The sequence below is a fragment of the Homo sapiens genome, chromosome 17 (assembly GCF_000001405.40).
Source record: "Homo sapiens chromosome 17, GRCh38.p14 Primary Assembly".
Taxonomy (NCBI): Eukaryota; Metazoa; Chordata; class Mammalia; order Primates; family Hominidae; genus Homo; species Homo sapiens.
Window position 1 is genome coordinate 9,908,277 of NC_000017.11, and position 15,889 is coordinate 9,924,165.

Sequence of the window (15,889 nt, forward strand, 5' to 3'; positions counted from 1 at the left end):
GGCCTGAGCCTAGAGGACAAGTAGGTGAGGAGGTGGGGTTACCATGTCAATGAAAGAGGCCCTGGGCGAGGCAGAAGGCAGCCAGAGCCCTCCAGTCTTTGCTGTCCTCTCCAGGCACAAGGAGGAAGGAGCTGGACCCAGGTCGGAAGCAGCCTGGTACAGTCCACATTCTCCAGGTTGCTGTGCCCAGGAGGGGCCCCAGGGGACCGCAGGCAGCTGTGTTGATGCTGAGAGTGAGGGGTCATGACCTGGAGGTTTGTTTGAAAACCTGCATAAACATCTTCTATCAGAGGGAGAGCTTATGCTCCTTAGCCAAACAAGTTGTTGGAGATGATGTATTGTGAGTCGATTTGTTAAGTCTGAGCTGGGGCCATAAACTCTCCCAAAACCCAAAGACTGCTCTAGAGGAGAAGGCTTCATCTCCAGGCAGAGGATCCCAGTTTTGGTCTCGCTCTCCTCGCTGGACTGAAAGATGCTTCCCAGAAGCTGGCCCTGTCCCCTCAAGCAGGAGCTCCATCTTGGCCATTAGCTGGGACCCAGACGCCACCCCTTCCCCATTGCTCGACCTTGCCTGCTATGAGCTGAAGGCCAAGACGACCCTCCTGCCCTCTGGCCTGGAGCCAGCACCTGCAGAGAAGTCCGCATTGAGAGGGAAAAGGGGGTATGGAGAAGGTGGCGGGGGAGACAGAGAATGGGGAAGGACCCTCCTCCCACAGCTGTCCCCATTGCAGAAAATGACAATCCATCCTTTTGATGACTTGGATTGAGGTCCTTGGCATCATTCTCAGTGTTTCTCTTTCGGTCACAACCCACTCCAATCTATCAAGAAATCATCTTGACTCTACCTTCAAGGTACATCCAGAACCAGACCGTTCTTCCCGCCTCCCTTGCACCTGCCTTGTGCAGGCAGCATCACCGCTGCCTCCTAACAGCTCTTCCTGCTTCTGCTCTTGTCCCCTTACAGCCCCGCAGTGAGCCCCATGGCCATGAAATCAGGTCATGCACTATGGCTGCCCACTTCTCCCAGTCCAAGCCAAAAGCCTGCAGCAGGCAGCACTGGCCCTCATCCCACCATTTCTCGCAAGTGGCCTCTGGCACCTCCAAGAACGGATGAAAGGGGGCGGATGCCTTTTGTCTCTCTGCTAAGTCATCAGAGGTAAAATCACCACCAATCCCAAGAACCTGGGGGAAACGCTGAGACGGGTCGTTCAAAGAATGTGACAGCCCTCCAGGAAAGAGGGTTGCCCAGCGTCCTCATCTTCTCTTCCCTCCTCACTCCCTCCACTCCAGCCAGGCTGGCCTCAGACACGCGAGCATCTCTTCCGCTTGGAACACTCTCCTCTGGTGACCTTCCAGGGTCCCTCCCAGGTCTCCTTGTCTTTGATCAAATACCACCTTCTCAATGAGGCCACTCAAATGACCCTATTGAATCCTGCAACGTACCCTGTCCTGGTTTTCTTTTCCACAACACTTAACACCATCCACACCCACATCACAGAACATAGTAGGTCTACTGTTTTTGTCTGCTAGAATGTAAGCTACCTGAGAGCAGGGCTCTGTTTCTCACACTGATGTGTTCCCAGAACCTAGAGCAGTGTCTGGCATATACCAGATGCTCAGTAATTATTGAATGAATAGATGGATGGGACCGGGCGTAGTGACTCATGCCTGTAATCCCAACACTTTGGGAGGCCGAAGAGGACGGATCACCTAAGGTCAGAAGTTCGAGACCAGCCTGGCCAACGTGGCAAAACCCTGTCTCTACTAAAAATACAAAAATTAGCCAGTTGAGGTGGGGCGTGCCTGTAGTCCCAGCTACTCGGGAGGCTGACACAGGAGAATCGCTTGAACCTGGGAGGTAGACGTTGCAGTGAGCTGAGACTGTGCCACTGCACTCCAGCCTGGGCGACAGAGCGAGACTCTCTCTCTCTCTCTCTCTATATATATATATATAAATGAACGGATGGATGGATGGATGAGAAAAGAAACAGCCAGGAGCTCCAGAGATGAGAGGGAGGCAAAGGGCTGGAACCCACAGAGACAGGAAGTCACCAGGGGGAGGGGCCTGAGGCCAGGAGCATAGCATCCATTTGGGTGCCAGTGTCCAGATGCCCTTTGTCTCCCGCTAAGTCATCGGAGGTGAAATCACCACCAATCTCGAGAGCCTAGGAGGGATGCCAAGACAGGTCACATGAAGAATGTGGCAGCCCTCCAGGAAAGAGGGTCGCCTAGGGGGACCTAGTGTCTCTGGACAGTTTATTTTACATGGGATGAATCTAGGCATCTCGAGGATACACACAGAGCAGAAGAAAAAAAAAACGAGATGGGATTTAACTTCCTGAAAACTCTTTATAATAATGCAGGACAACTGTATATAGCAAACGCCTTCAAAATTTAAACTCTTTAAACATTTAATTCTTCAGCATTAATACACACAAATGCGGTAACAGGGGTCAGGGGGGTGGTGCGGGGGCAGGTGGGTTACAGCCTCCACTGGGATCAGGGTTTCAACAGTGTTACTTATAAATTATATTACATCAATTTTATTTACTGATCTAGGCAGCCAGAGGGTGGAAGGATATACAATGTGGAGGAAACACATTCATACCGGGGTGAGGAGTGCTGGCGGGAGACACGGCTCTTTAACATGAAAAATGTATAAAGTATTTAGCAAAAGTTACAGAAAACAGATCAAACAAGCAAGTTTATTTTGTTAGAAAATTCCACTTTCATAGGGTTTGCCGATGTGCTCGTGTCTGTGAAGGGGTTGCTTCCGGTCATCTCCTTCCTAACGGAAGGGAAGGGATGCTAAGTTGGGGCCCCTGTCACTAAGGATGGCTGGCGTCCCTTTGAATGTCTGTCCCTGGGTCCACACAGCTGCCTGGAACCCACGACTCCCGAGAGCCCGTCTGCTGCAGGTGATGCTGGAAGGGAAGCGCCCCCACTTGACAGATGAGTGCACGGAGGTCCCGACAGGGGATGTGACTTAACTTCAGGTTATGGGACAAAGGAGGCCGCAGAGCAGGGCCAGTCCTGTGCTCTCCCCCTGCATAGCAGGCTTTCCCTCTAGGTCTCCCAGTCACCCCACCCCGAGAGAGCACCCACGTGCCCTGACCTTACATTCCACTGCAATCCCACTAAAGTTTCCCTCAAACACCAAGGAACAGTCCTGAACACCACACGCAATCTCCAAAGGCCATCGCCCCAACCTCACCCCACCCCCAGAGACACCTCCCAGGAAGCCCTCCTGACAGCCATGCCCCAGCATTTAGAACGTGGGGAGAAGCGAATTGGTTTTTGCCCTCTGTCTGATTCTCGCTCTAACCTGCTGCAATGGGAATTGCTTCTTCACCTCCAGGAAAGCCTCAACAAAAATACTCCTGAGGGGGAGACAAGAGTCCTCCCCGGCAAATTTCAACCCAGCAGAGTCCTGGCAGCCTCTTCGGCTCCCTACCTTGAGGCCCCGGGGGCTCAGGCTTCCTGGCCCTAATCTTCACCTGGCCTGGATCCAGAAATGTCTCTGGTTCGCATAGAGAGGTACCCAACTGGTCTCGGGACTCACCTTTCACTGAGCAGGGGGCATGAACAAGACACAGCTTAGTGGAGTGTTTACCTCAGGGGTCACACTCAGCCTGGTCTGGCCTTAACTGGGTGTGGTCCTGTCCCTGCCACCATGTACCACCATCCAGTGGGGTGCAGGTACAGGCCAGGCTGTGTGATCACCAGCTAGGCAAGGCTCCAGCTGCGACAAGGACTCCATCTTCACGCCTGTCCTGGCTCCTGGGGAGTAGACTCCAGAACATACTATCAAAGATCGACGAATGAGATCCAAACGGTCATTACTTGCACTGTCTTTGGGGGGTCCTAGGAGAAACTACCTCATTCTTAACAGCTCATAAAACTCTTAATTTTAGCTCCATTTGAATCTAAATGGAAAAGTACCACGGCATCTCTCTCACCAGGACTTGAGGCAATTCTATGCACGATTGTGCAGATGAGAGCCAGACACAGCATGAACACGTGTACAGGGTACATCATTGGAAATGAGAAAGGGAGGAGGTACATGCAGTTGCCGGTGGCCTGAGACACTCATCTAGAACAAACACCCTCAGCTTGCAGATGAAGCAACAGATCCAGGAAAGCATCATGATGAGCCCCAGGGCCAGCCCCAGCCTTCTTGTCCATGCTGCTTCTGCTCGCCTTTCAAAGCCTCCAACGCCCAATACATAGCCAAGGACCGTGTGACACTGAAGCCTGGGTCCCAGAAGGGAGCAGATCTGCTGGCTGAGATGCAAGCTTCAGGTTGCAGCAGACGTGAGCAGCAATTGAGCACCCATCCGTCCCTTCCCCTCCCATCCCTGGATTCTTTCTGCACTACCAAAAACCCACCACGCGCCAAAAGGCGAGTGTGAGCCCTAAGAACAGCTTGTGGGCACAGCTGGCATTTGGAGGAGGAGCCTGGGGAACTGAAGGAAGCAGCAAGCTGGAAGTGGTCGTGCAAACAAGTTGAAGACCCTGGGCCAAGAACTTCCAGGGCGAAAGGCTCAGTGTAAAAATAAAGAAGCAGAGTAGTACGCCCATGCAATGAAATACTTCCCGGCAAGGAGAAGGAACAAACCACACGCACACATCATGAATGACTCAAAAGCATTAAGCTGAGGGAAAGATGCCAGACTCAAAAGGCGACATCAGTGTGACTCCATTTATATGACATTCTAGAAAAGGCAAAATTATAGGATCAGATAATCAATCAGGGTTGCCAGGGAAAGAGGGCAGGAGAAGGGAATTTTTTGGAGGGTTAAAAACAGGTTGATCTTGGTGATGGTCACAAGACACTAAATTTGTCAAAATTCACAGAGCTGTATATTTCCAAAGGGTGAATTTTACTGGATGTCAATCATACCTCAATAAACCTGGGAAAAGGTGGTGGCGATGGGCCTTGTAGGGATGGCAAGGATTATGGGGATAAGACGATGTCCAGGCTACGTGGGGGGGCAGCTGATCTGTACCCCACTTAACATTAGAAGTGCTCTCTCCGACCTACACAAGGAATGCATCTTGAGCCTTCTGTTTAAACACTCCTTGTCAAGACTACCTGCAGCTGGAAGTAAAATCACCTAAACAAGCCAAGGTCGCTGATGTCCTTCGAATGTTATGGCTTGTATTTCCAAAAGGGACTTTGGCTCAGCCCAGATTTTTCTGCATCCATCCACTCATCTAGTAATTGATTGGTTTTCACAAAGGGTAGGGAAAGAAACCCCTGGTTGGTGAATTCGTTGGTACACTGTTTCGGTGTGCCCAGCTGTTTATCAATCCTGACTAGCAGAGCACTGCCTCCCACCGCAGAAATTCTCCTTGGCCAACAGGGTGCTGAGTGGAGGTAGAAAGGAGGCCCAGGGTGGTCCCACTGACAGAATCTCAGGGCCGCCATCCCCACGGTCCAAGGGGCCTATGTGTTGCCACTGACTGAAAGCACTAGAAAGAATAGAGGGTAACAAGTGGCTCTTCCTGGAGGTTGTCACAGCAACCAACTTGGAACACCATTTGGCTTAAGGAATTTTTTTTTTCTTTTTAAATCAGGCTTTCACAAACAGATCTTGTGCATCAGTCTCCTGGGTGGAGGCAGGTAGAAGGGGCTGACTTGTTCTCAGAAATGGAAGGGACATTCTCAAGAATAGCCCAGACCCGCCCACTTTGAATAAACCCAGCTAAGTCCTCACCTAAGCACCAAGACATAAAACAAAACAACAACCCGGATAGCGTGCTTGCCTCTCCAAAGTGCAGTCTTTTATTTTCTCAGTTGCATCCTAACCTTGATTTCAACCAGAAACGGGCCCCTGTTCATACGGATAGGGGTTCTGGACTGTTGACTCTAGCCCTGGTCTTAATTCACTGGCAATTTCATAGCCTCACTGGTTACCCTTGAGCTTCACTTTCCTATTTGCAAAGAGTTATTTATAATTTTTTTGAGATGGAGTCTTGCTCTGTCACCCAAGCTGGAGTGCAGTGGCCCGATCTTGGTTCACTGCAATCTCCGCCTCCCAGGTTCAAGCGATTCTACTGCCTCAGCCTGCCGAATAGTTGGGACTACAGGTGTGCACCACCACATCTGGCTAATTTTTTGTATTTTTAGCAGAGACGGGGTTTCACCATGTTAGCCAGGATGGTCTCGATCTCCTGACCTCGTGATCTGCCCACCTCGGCCTCCCAAAGAGCTGGGATTACAGGCGTGAGCCACCGTGCCCGACCCTTATTTGTAAAGAGTTATTTAAAGCAAACAGAGAAATTTCTGAAATTCGAATTGGATATGGGCCGTGAGGGTCTGGTGACCAGGTGATTAAAATCTTGTTGCTGTCTACCTTCCATCCAACAGGTAAATGCCTCACGACGGTGGTTTATATTATAATAAAGAATCCCAGAGGGTTAAGTGTGGAGAGGGTACAATGTTCTTATTATACTCTTCTCAGTCGACATGGAGAATAGAGGAGAGCAGAGGAATGCCCATCTTACATACAACTAGAGCGCCGCTTCTCAGCATGCCTGGCTTGTCTTGAGCATTCGCTGAATGAATGCAGATTAATCAGAACAACAGACTTACCTCTGAAAACTTAAATTCTGTAGAGTGCCTATGTATCAATGCCAAGGTTGCTGACCGGTAAGACCCCTGAAAACGAGCGATCACGGGCTTCCCTGACGACAGGGCCATTATAGTGTCCTCAGATTAGATCTTAGCACAATGGCTTTAACCTGCTTGATGAATGAATAACAGAGGGAAGAAAGAAAGGAAGTACGTGAAGGGGGTAAAGAGAAGGAGGTGAGGGGATGAGGGGGGAAAGAGTGACCTCCAAAAATGGACTGGCCCAAACTGGGCCAACCTGAGCTACCCTGGAAGACGCAAGAGGGCTCACTCTATCCCAGGGATGAACAGAGGACTCTGGAATCCTCAGATGTAATGGAAAAGTCAATGAGCCATATTGTACTCAAAATATCTTGTTAATAACAAGGCTATTGGCTTTGAATGTTTGGAAATCATCCACAGAGTAGTTTACTAAGCCACAAAGCAATTACCACTAGCACCCATTTTTCATAAAGAAACCAAGAAATAATATTCTAAAATTGGTAGCTGGTGTCATGACCCAACCCCAGATCTGGACAGAGTGGTTCTCCATCCCATGGACAGATCCTACCAGGAGGTCTTCACGTAGGTGAAGGCCTTTGTGCTGACCTTTTTGGTTGCAATGTTTCAAGAACAAGAGAAAAGTGACAACGTTTGGTTTACTTTAGTATATTAGGCATTTTTCTAATGTGAACTATACGAAAGCAATTCTCATTCAATGAAAGAGGCGCCAAAAAATTAGAGATTAATAAGTCATCGGTTTCTAGCACGTTGACTGAAAGACCAGTGAGTTGTGCTTGTTGAATTCTGCCCTCACTGCAGATGTGCAGGTCAAACCCAAAGTGGTCAATGGGAAAGATGAAGAAAGATGGATTTCCAGGGCATGGGCTCCCGACTAGAATCTGCCCCTCGCTCATGCTTCTCCCGGCCCCTTTAGACTCTTTAGACTGACATGGTGGAGAATGTGTTTGCTGTGGTAGAGAAAGGGAGAAAGTAATGAGCTGGGCCAAACAGCAGCACTGAAAGCTTCCCAAGTCACACTCAGACCAGACTTTTCCAGGGATTGGAAGATGGAGAGAGGGAAAGGAGGTGCAGACACCAAGTAAGGGTTTGGTGCAGGGCTCTGGAATGTCCAGAAGGAGCGGGAAGCAAAGGTGGCGGGACACTGCCTGAAAGGCGACAACCTAGTGTGGCCACAAGAGAGTCTGCTATGCCTGTCCAGTGCCCACCAGTGACAGAAAACTGTACAAGGGACAGCAGTCCCAGCCCTGCCATACACAAGAAGACAGAGCCATCTGGGGGATGGCAAAGACTTGCCCTAACCCATCTCACATGTAGGACTGACCCGGCCCCATTAAGAGCCTGTGGTGGGCGGCCCGGGAGAGTGGGGGCCAGGGCAGCCCAAAGGTGCACAGGGCACCGTGGCGGACAGGCCCCAGCTTGCTGGCCTCTGAGACGAGCTGGTTTGTTTCCATCCCTGAAGCCTTTGGACGAGCTGGATGAGGTCTTGATAACTGAGAACTTTGGAAAGCTTCCTCTAATGAGACTGGGAAGGGCTGGCAGGGTGGGGGCAGGGGCCTCCCCGAGGAAGCAGCTGGGGGAAGGATGGATTGGCATTTCCAGAGGAGACTTTACAGATGGCGCCTGATCTCATGGGACACGATTCAGCGCTCAATTTGGGGCTAATTTGCCGAATGAGGTAGTTCCATCCTGACCTCTCCAGGCATGGTGGGTCTGGGAAGACAGGAGCCAAGCCTTCCTCCTAAAACCCCTGGTGATGAACAGTGGCTGAGAAAGCCAGATGTGGACTCCCAGAATGCAATGGGAAAAAAATAAAGAAGGAGGGCTGCAAAGGATTCTGGGTGCGGCTGTGAGCTGAATGGCACCTTCTACCCATGATTCTGATCCTGACACCTGGCTTAGAGACAGAGCCCTCCCTACCCTGATCCTCCAAAGCCCTGGAGACAAGGGAGCCAGCTGGAGGAAGAGCCTTGGGGCTTCCAGGGCACAAGCATGTGACAGTGACCCCTACAAAACTCGGCAAGGACCACAAAGTTCCAGCCTCTGTTTGTTTCAGAGCGGCAAGCACAGCATGGGAGTCAGGGGGTCTTCAGCCTCAGAGACAAGGGCAGGGCTGTGGGTCTGTCTTCTGGGCCTGGGAATATGGGGGAGCCCCCAGCTAGGCTGTCCGGGTCACCCTTCTGGAATCACCAGCTCTCTCCCCTCTCCTCAGTGGCCCAGGAGAGAGGGTGGGGGGCATCCACTCGGCATGGGCCCCATGGTGGGAGCCCAGCCCCCCTCCCCAGCAGGACCCCCCGAAGCTGCACAGGCCCATCTAGATCTCCATGTCCACAGGGCGGATGTTGCCCGTCTTGTGCTCTCTGACCCACAGCTCCCTGTCTTTGGCCGGGTCCACTTTTCGAAGCAGCTGATCCACGGGCTCGACTGTCTGCAAGAGACAGAGAAAATGCGACACTGTTAGAGACGGCGGCCAAGCCAGGGAGGTCTCCTCTGAGACATGCTGTCCTCACCTTAGTGTCTCTGAGAGCAGCCTCTCTAGAGGGCTCCGGGGCCCCAGGGGGAGGCCCATCTGAGGGACAGCACATGAAGAGGGCTGTGAACGGGGAACCCAGTATGCATCCCGACCCTGCTTCTCACCCTGCAGACCCCAGGCCTGGATGAGAGGCCAGGAGGGCCTTAAAACCTGTCTCTATCCCTTCCACCCCACATTTACCACCAGTGAACAGGACAAATAAAACTTGAGCTTTAGGTATTGTGAATATTTCTAGAAGTTGTTTTTTTTGGTTTTGTTTTTTAAGAAATTTAATAATGTCTTCAGCTACTGTAACTGTTACGAGCTTCTTTCTCCTCAGGGTAACAGCTCACGTGTGTGTCCACTTCATGTGCCAGGGTCGGAATCACACAGACGTCCAGGACAATCCTGAGAGGCCCAGTCCACGAGGCCACCCCCAGGCCAGAGCACCTGCCCACTGCCCGCCTTTAGGGCAGATTCACTTGCAGCAGCCACTTAACCTGCCACGGCCTAGCGCCAGGCGGCTCTCCCCAGGCCCCGTGTCGCCCGGGAGCCCCGCTGGGCTGGAAACTCACGCTTTGGTTGAACATGTCTGTTTCATGCCGCAGCTGCGTGTACTGGCACAGGTGCTGCCGGATCATCTCTACCCTCTCCACCTCCAGCCGCTCTAGCTCCTGCCGAGAAAGCAAAGGCCAGAGAACTCTGAGCACGTCCCCTCCACTTGGGGGTCCCCCCACCAAGACCACAAAACGCAAGTCACTGGCTGTGGACATTCTGTCCCATCTGACTCTCTGGGGTCTGATGAAGAGCGTGCCCCATATCTAAGGTGAAGGTGAAGCTGATGACAGCAGCAGCGGCTGTTTTACTTCCTGAAATCCTGCTCCGCCACGCACAGTGCTGAGGGCTTTACGTGCGTTCCTTAACTGTCCTCGTTACAATTTTAAGAGATCGTTTCTGTTATTATCCCCATTCTCCAAGCAAGGGAACTGGGGAACTAACACCTAGAGAGGCAACAACACAGCTCACCCAAAGCGACACGGAATTATGGGAGGAACAGGATTTAAACCAGAGTCCATCAGGCTGTTACTCATGGCAATGCACCCATGCAGCCCTGGCCCTGGTGCCCTGATGGGGTATAACAAGGGGGCACATGTGGGAGCTCCATGCCACACATTCCTGGGACCTTGTCCCTGGGCCTCTGCTGAGCAGCCTCCCTTCCTCTGCCTATGCCTAGTGCTGTGGCCGCAATAGAGACCGGGCCAGGGAGGCAGACTGGGCTGCACGTGGCACAGCTTTTGTCAAAGGGGAGCGTGGAAAGGGTTTGTCCTCTGGTTTCTAGATGGTTTTGTGTCTTTGGAATCTAGGGGATCCGGCTGTTACTCTGCATACAACTAGGTCACTGCCCAGGTGATTAATCAGAAAGGGGGGTAAAGCAGGGGGCTTAATTAGGAGATTAACCAGGAGGAAAACTAGGTCACTGTCCCTGGTGGAGGCCTCTAATCTGCTCTGGTGGGCTGACACCTGGGGAAGGCAGCTGGTTAGTCCTGTGCTGGATGGACAGGGGTGGCTTTAGGCAGTGGGCTGATCCGATGAGCACCTGGCATGATGCCTCCTGTCCCATCTGGCCCAAGTACCAGCCACACTTCACTGTCCACTCAGGCAGGTGCTGACTGATAAGGAGATGCTGCCCCTTTACAAGAAATACTCAAGAGCATCATCGGCCCTGCCGCCTGTTGTTCACCCTTGGTGAGAGGCCTCCCCCACCCCACTGCCTAGCTCCATCCTCACCCATCCATCCACTTTGCAAGGATCTCCTACCAAGGACCTGCAACTCGTGTGTGTGCATGTGTGGGGCGGTCCTCTCTTCCTATAGCTTGGCTATTTTTCCTAAAGAGGCCCTTGTCCACTTAGTTGAGGAGAGTCCTCAGTTGACCCTGACCTCTCAGGGGACAGCCCAAGAAGGATGTAGCCATATCCAACCCAACCCTGCCCACATCCACACAGCTAGGAAGCGCTGGAGCAGAGATCTGAATCCACATAAGCTGGCTCACATTGAGGTTTCGACCCCAACACTGAAGTAGATTTGATGACCATCTCCAGGGTCACTCCACCCCATCATCCCCGCGCCCACCAACAACCACCAGGGGCTGCTCTGTGTCAGCCTCTGTACTGCCATGTCCACACATCCCTGCCCGCTTACCAATGTGGTGGTCACCATCTCTTCAAACCATTTGGACTGGGCCTGGTTGTAGAGATCCACACAGCGCATGAGGTCGTCTCCTGGAAAAAGACCACAGTCACCATCATGAAGCATCCTATCCTCACCATGACTCTGTGCCCCACCCTGAGCCCCACAGCCAAGCCTTCTCCTCCCCCTGGGGTCATGGTGGCCGCTGGAAAGCTGGAAAAGGGATGGCAGTAGGAAGAAGAAGAAAGCAGAGCCAGGGAAGGAAGGGGGCAACCCAGCCCCATGAGAACCCAGCTCAGGTGTCCCCCTGAAGCCTGACCCCAGATACCAAGGATTCAGGATGGTGGTTCTCATTTTGTGTGTGTGTGTGTGTGTGTGTGTGTGTGTGTGTGTGTGTGTGTGTCTAGGGTATTCCTAGGACCCCCAATCCTATCATGAGCCCAAGAAATGCTTCCCTCTCTAAAGATGGCAGTTTTATTTTACACTGGGGAGTCCAGATTGGTTAAAACATGTCACACACAATTTGGTGCTAAGAATAATTAAGGAAGATAAATTTGCAGATCATGTAAGTGTGTGTGTGTGTGTGTGTGCATGAACACACTGCAAGATGTCCTTCTGAAACACAAAAGAACGCATCTGTAGTCACAGTCTAAAACATGCACTGGAGGAGCACACCCCAGCTTCAGGAGAGTGGCTACCTTGGGAAACAGAGAAAGGGTGAGTGGGCAGGAATCAGCTCCTTCTATTGCATTTTATGTCATCACAGAAAGATCCGAGGCAAACATAACTATTCAATCTTTAGGACTACTCTATTACTTTGTTATCATATGTATGTTTAGAACATTTTGTAATTAGAAAGAAAACACACTGCGAAGTAATTGCAAACATTACTAAGCGTACCAGCACCTTGGAACCTTGCTACACAAATCACAGTCTGTGGGCCAGTGGCACTTGTATGCCCTGGGGTCGGCTAGAAATTCAGAAACCCAGGACAGATCCGAGACCTACTGAATCAGAGACTGCATGTTTATGAGACGCTCTGGTAATGTGTGTGCACGTGGCAGGCAGAGCAGCACAGCTCTCATGCACGGCTTTGTCTCAGCGTAGCTTCCTCATCCTCACAGGGCTCCAGCAAGAGGAAGGCATCATGGTGTTTGCTCACGATGGAAAAAGCTCATGAGTGAACCCCAAAGTGAAGTAATTTTCTCTAGTAATTCTAGAAGCAGAATGCTAGAGTAGAATTTAGTAATTCGAGTAGAGTCAAAGTGACTCCTATAGTATCATCATTGTGGCTCATAGGTACTCTGATAGGAAAGTCAAAGAGAACAGGGAAGGTTATGTCTCCAGGCCCCAGGCCTAGCTGCGAACCATACCCCTAGCTATGCCACACACCAGACGCGAGTGTGCCTTGAATAACAGAGCCCACACCAAGGCATTTATTCATTTTGTTCTTGGTCCAAGGCCAATGACTGGACCCTTGATCCCAAGAGGCACTGAACCGGAGAGAAGAAAGTGGATGCTGCACCGTAAAATGCATTTTTTTCTTTTTTTTTTTTTTTTTGAGACGGAGTCTGGCTCTGTCACCCAGGCTGGAGTGCAGTGGCGCAATCTCGGCTCACTGCAACCTCCACCTCCCGGGTTCAAGTGATTCTTCTGCCTCAGCCTCCCGAGTAGCTGGTACCACAGGCATGCGCCACCACCCCTGGCTAGTTTTTGTATTTTTAGTAGAGATGGGGTTTCACCATATCGGCCAGGCTAGTCTCGAACTCCTGACCTTGTGATCCGCCCGCCTCAGCCTCCGAAATGCAAATGCATTTCTAGCAAGAGCTCCTGCCTGGCCGAGGAGGAGGGCGGCGTGCTGCTCTGTACACTGTGAAACTCCCTGAGCCCTGTGTGTCAATGCTGATTTTGAGAAATTGCTTCAGGAACTTCCACAGCATTGGGAAACAGAGTAGGTGAAGGGGGCTGTACCTTCTCTCTATGGCAGCCCAAGAGCTTGAAATTGGAACTTTTTAGAACAGTATTGGTTAAGACCATGGATTGTGGGACAAGAATGCCTTTGTTGGCCAGGCGCGGTGCCTCACGCCTGTAATCCCAGCACTTTGGGAGGCCGAGGCGGGTGGATCACGAGGTCAGGACATCGAGACCATCCTGGCTAACACGGTGAAACCCCGTCTCTACTAAAAATATAAAAAATTAGCCAGGCGTGGTGGCAGGCGCCTGTAGTCCCAGCTACTCGGGAGGCTGAGGCAGGAGAATGGCATGAACCAGGGAGGCGGAGCTTGCAGTGAGCAGAGATCGCACCACTGCACTCCAGCCTGGGCGACAGAGCAAGACTCCATCTCAAAAAAAAAAAAAAAAAAGCCTTTGTTGTCATCCCAGCTCAACTACTTATTAGCTATGTAATCGTAGACAAGTCGGTTATCCTGCGCTTGCCTCCGTGTCTTCATCTGTAAAATGGAGATAACGATTGTACCTTTACCAAGTTGTTATGAGGAATAAATATGTCAAAATATGTAAAGCACTTAGAATAGAGATGGGCGTAGAGAGCCAAATATTAATATGGGCTATGGTGGTGATGAAGATGATGATGATGATGATGATGATGATGATGATCCCTGAGGATCTGATGTCTTTCCTTCTAGTAGCCTTGGAAAAGATGAGGAAGAGGGAGGAAAGGAACAGAAGGAAAGAACAGGTGGCATTTCCTGAGCAACAGGCTGTCCAGCAAAATGGCGACAAGCAGAGTCTCTGGAATGAGAGGAGACTGAATTGTGGCTTCGCCGCTCCACCACTGTGGACCTCATGGAAGGTTCTCATTTTCTCTGCCATCAGTCTTCTCATTTGTAAAGGGTATAAAAATACCTCCCTGCAGGGGGACTGTGCTGATCAAAAGAGACAATGCTCTAAAGCATGGAGGCTGGCCACAGCGAGTGCTCAGAAGAGGCGGTATTTTTCAGAGTTAGGTCTAAGGACTGTCACTTTCGTCACAAAATAATTCCAAACTACAGGAATGAGAGACCGTATTATCTGATGACAATGCAATAAAACTATGTAAAAAAAAATAGCAAGATTAGAAAACAACAACAAAGCCCTTGCTTGTAAACATATAAAGATTTTCTTTGAAACAATTCTTGGTTCGAAGATCAAATGAAAACCCAAATAGCAAAACATAATGAAAATAGCAGAAATAAAACCACCACAAATAAGAACCTGTGGAATATGGTTAGACCACCAGTGTAAGGAAAAATAAATGTCTGGTGGGTTACATATTTCACTGTCTTTTTTTGTTTGTTTGTTTGTTTTGTTTTTTGAGACAGAGTCTCACTCTCTTGCCCAGGCTGGAGTGCAGTGCTGCGATCTCAGCTCACTGCAACCTCTGCCTTCTGGGTTCAAGCGATTCTCCTGCTTTGGCCTCCCAAGTAGCTTGGATTACAGGCACACACCACCACACCCAGCTAAGTTTTGTATTTTTAGTAGAGACGAGGTTTCACTATGTTGGCCAGGCTGGTCTTGAACTCCTGACCTCGTGATCTGCCCGCCTGGGCCTCCCAAAGTGCTGGGATTACAGGCGTGAGCCACCACGGCCGGCCTTCACTATTTTAAAAACAAAAACAAAAATAAACACCTGAAACAAAAAAAAAAAGTAAGAAAAAACCCTCTAGGTGATTAAAAAAAAAGATCTAAATCAGCTCCGAAATCTAGGCTTCTTATGGGAAATATCACTGTACAGAAAAACAGCAAGAAAAAATAGACAAACAAGCAAAAAAAAAAAATTACAAAGAACAAAACTAAAAGACAAATGACAATCTAGGAAAAATATCTGCAATTAAAATGAAAAACGATTCATCTCCCTGATAGATAAAGAATCTATGGTCAGTGGGGAAAGGATATGAGTTAATCAGTTCACAGAAAGTACAACAATGATTTATATGTATATTTTACATACTCAACCTGGGTTATGGAGAAAAGCAAATTAAAAACAAAATATCATTTTTCCCCACTCACTACCAATTTCAAATCTTGATAACACACAATGTTGATAAGCATTTAGAGAACAGGCATTATTCATAGATGCTGTTGATAGGTGCTCTCTCTGGAAAGCAATTTGGAAATATCCATCAAGACGAATAATACCCTTTGACTCAGCAACTATATTCTCTCTATATGCAGATCTGGTCTTAGGCACACACAAAGATGCAGGTACAATAACACAGCTTCACTGGCTGGCAAGCACTCTGAAACAATCTAAGAGTCCTAAACCTCAGTTAAGGGAATGATGAAACAAATTTGGGTACAATCATACAACTGGACACTGGCCAGCCATTAAAAAGTTTGATATGCATGAATGGATGGGCAAAAAGATTTACAGAAATGAAAAAGAGGTATTTCCAAGATATATTAAATAAGTTCAGAAGATAGATTGTATGATCAAATGTATATAAATTTAAATATTTAAAAATCAAAACACTAGGAAGAGATGGTGATTATTTCTGTGAATAGCATTTTATATTCTTGTCTGCTGATTAAAATATTTTGCCATGTACCAATA

At 49.7% G+C, this 15,889-nt stretch overlaps 1 protein-coding gene across 13 annotated transcripts in view, besides 1 other annotated feature; it reads right to left on the minus strand.

Moving 5' to 3' along the window:
* The window catches only part of GAS7 (growth arrest specific 7), a 288,001-nt gene continuing 274,441 nt past the window's right edge, over positions 2,330-15,889 (minus strand). For all 13 annotated transcript variants that reach the window (NM_201433.2, XM_011524044.4, XM_047436955.1 and 10 more), the window contains 3 exons: positions 11,350-11,429; positions 9,725-9,823; positions 2,330-9,065 (listed from right to left, as the gene is read on the minus strand). In NM_201433.2, the coding sequence (NP_958839.1) occupies positions 8,952-9,065; positions 9,725-9,823; positions 11,350-11,429 (293 nt within the window). In that variant the 3' untranslated portion in view covers positions 2,330-8,951. The remainder of the gene's footprint in view (positions 9,066-9,724; positions 9,824-11,349; positions 11,430-15,889) is intronic.
* Positions 3,221-3,390: an enhancer, noted in NCBI's record as "experimental_47676 CRE fragment used in MPRA reporter constructs". NCBI's record gives its function as "activates a minimal promoter by MPRAs in K562 erythroleukemia cells, with activity observed for both the introgressed and non-introgressed 17:9814899 variant alleles {active_cell/tissue: K562}" and the evidence as "EXISTENCE:reporter gene assay evidence [ECO:0000049][PMID:34662402]".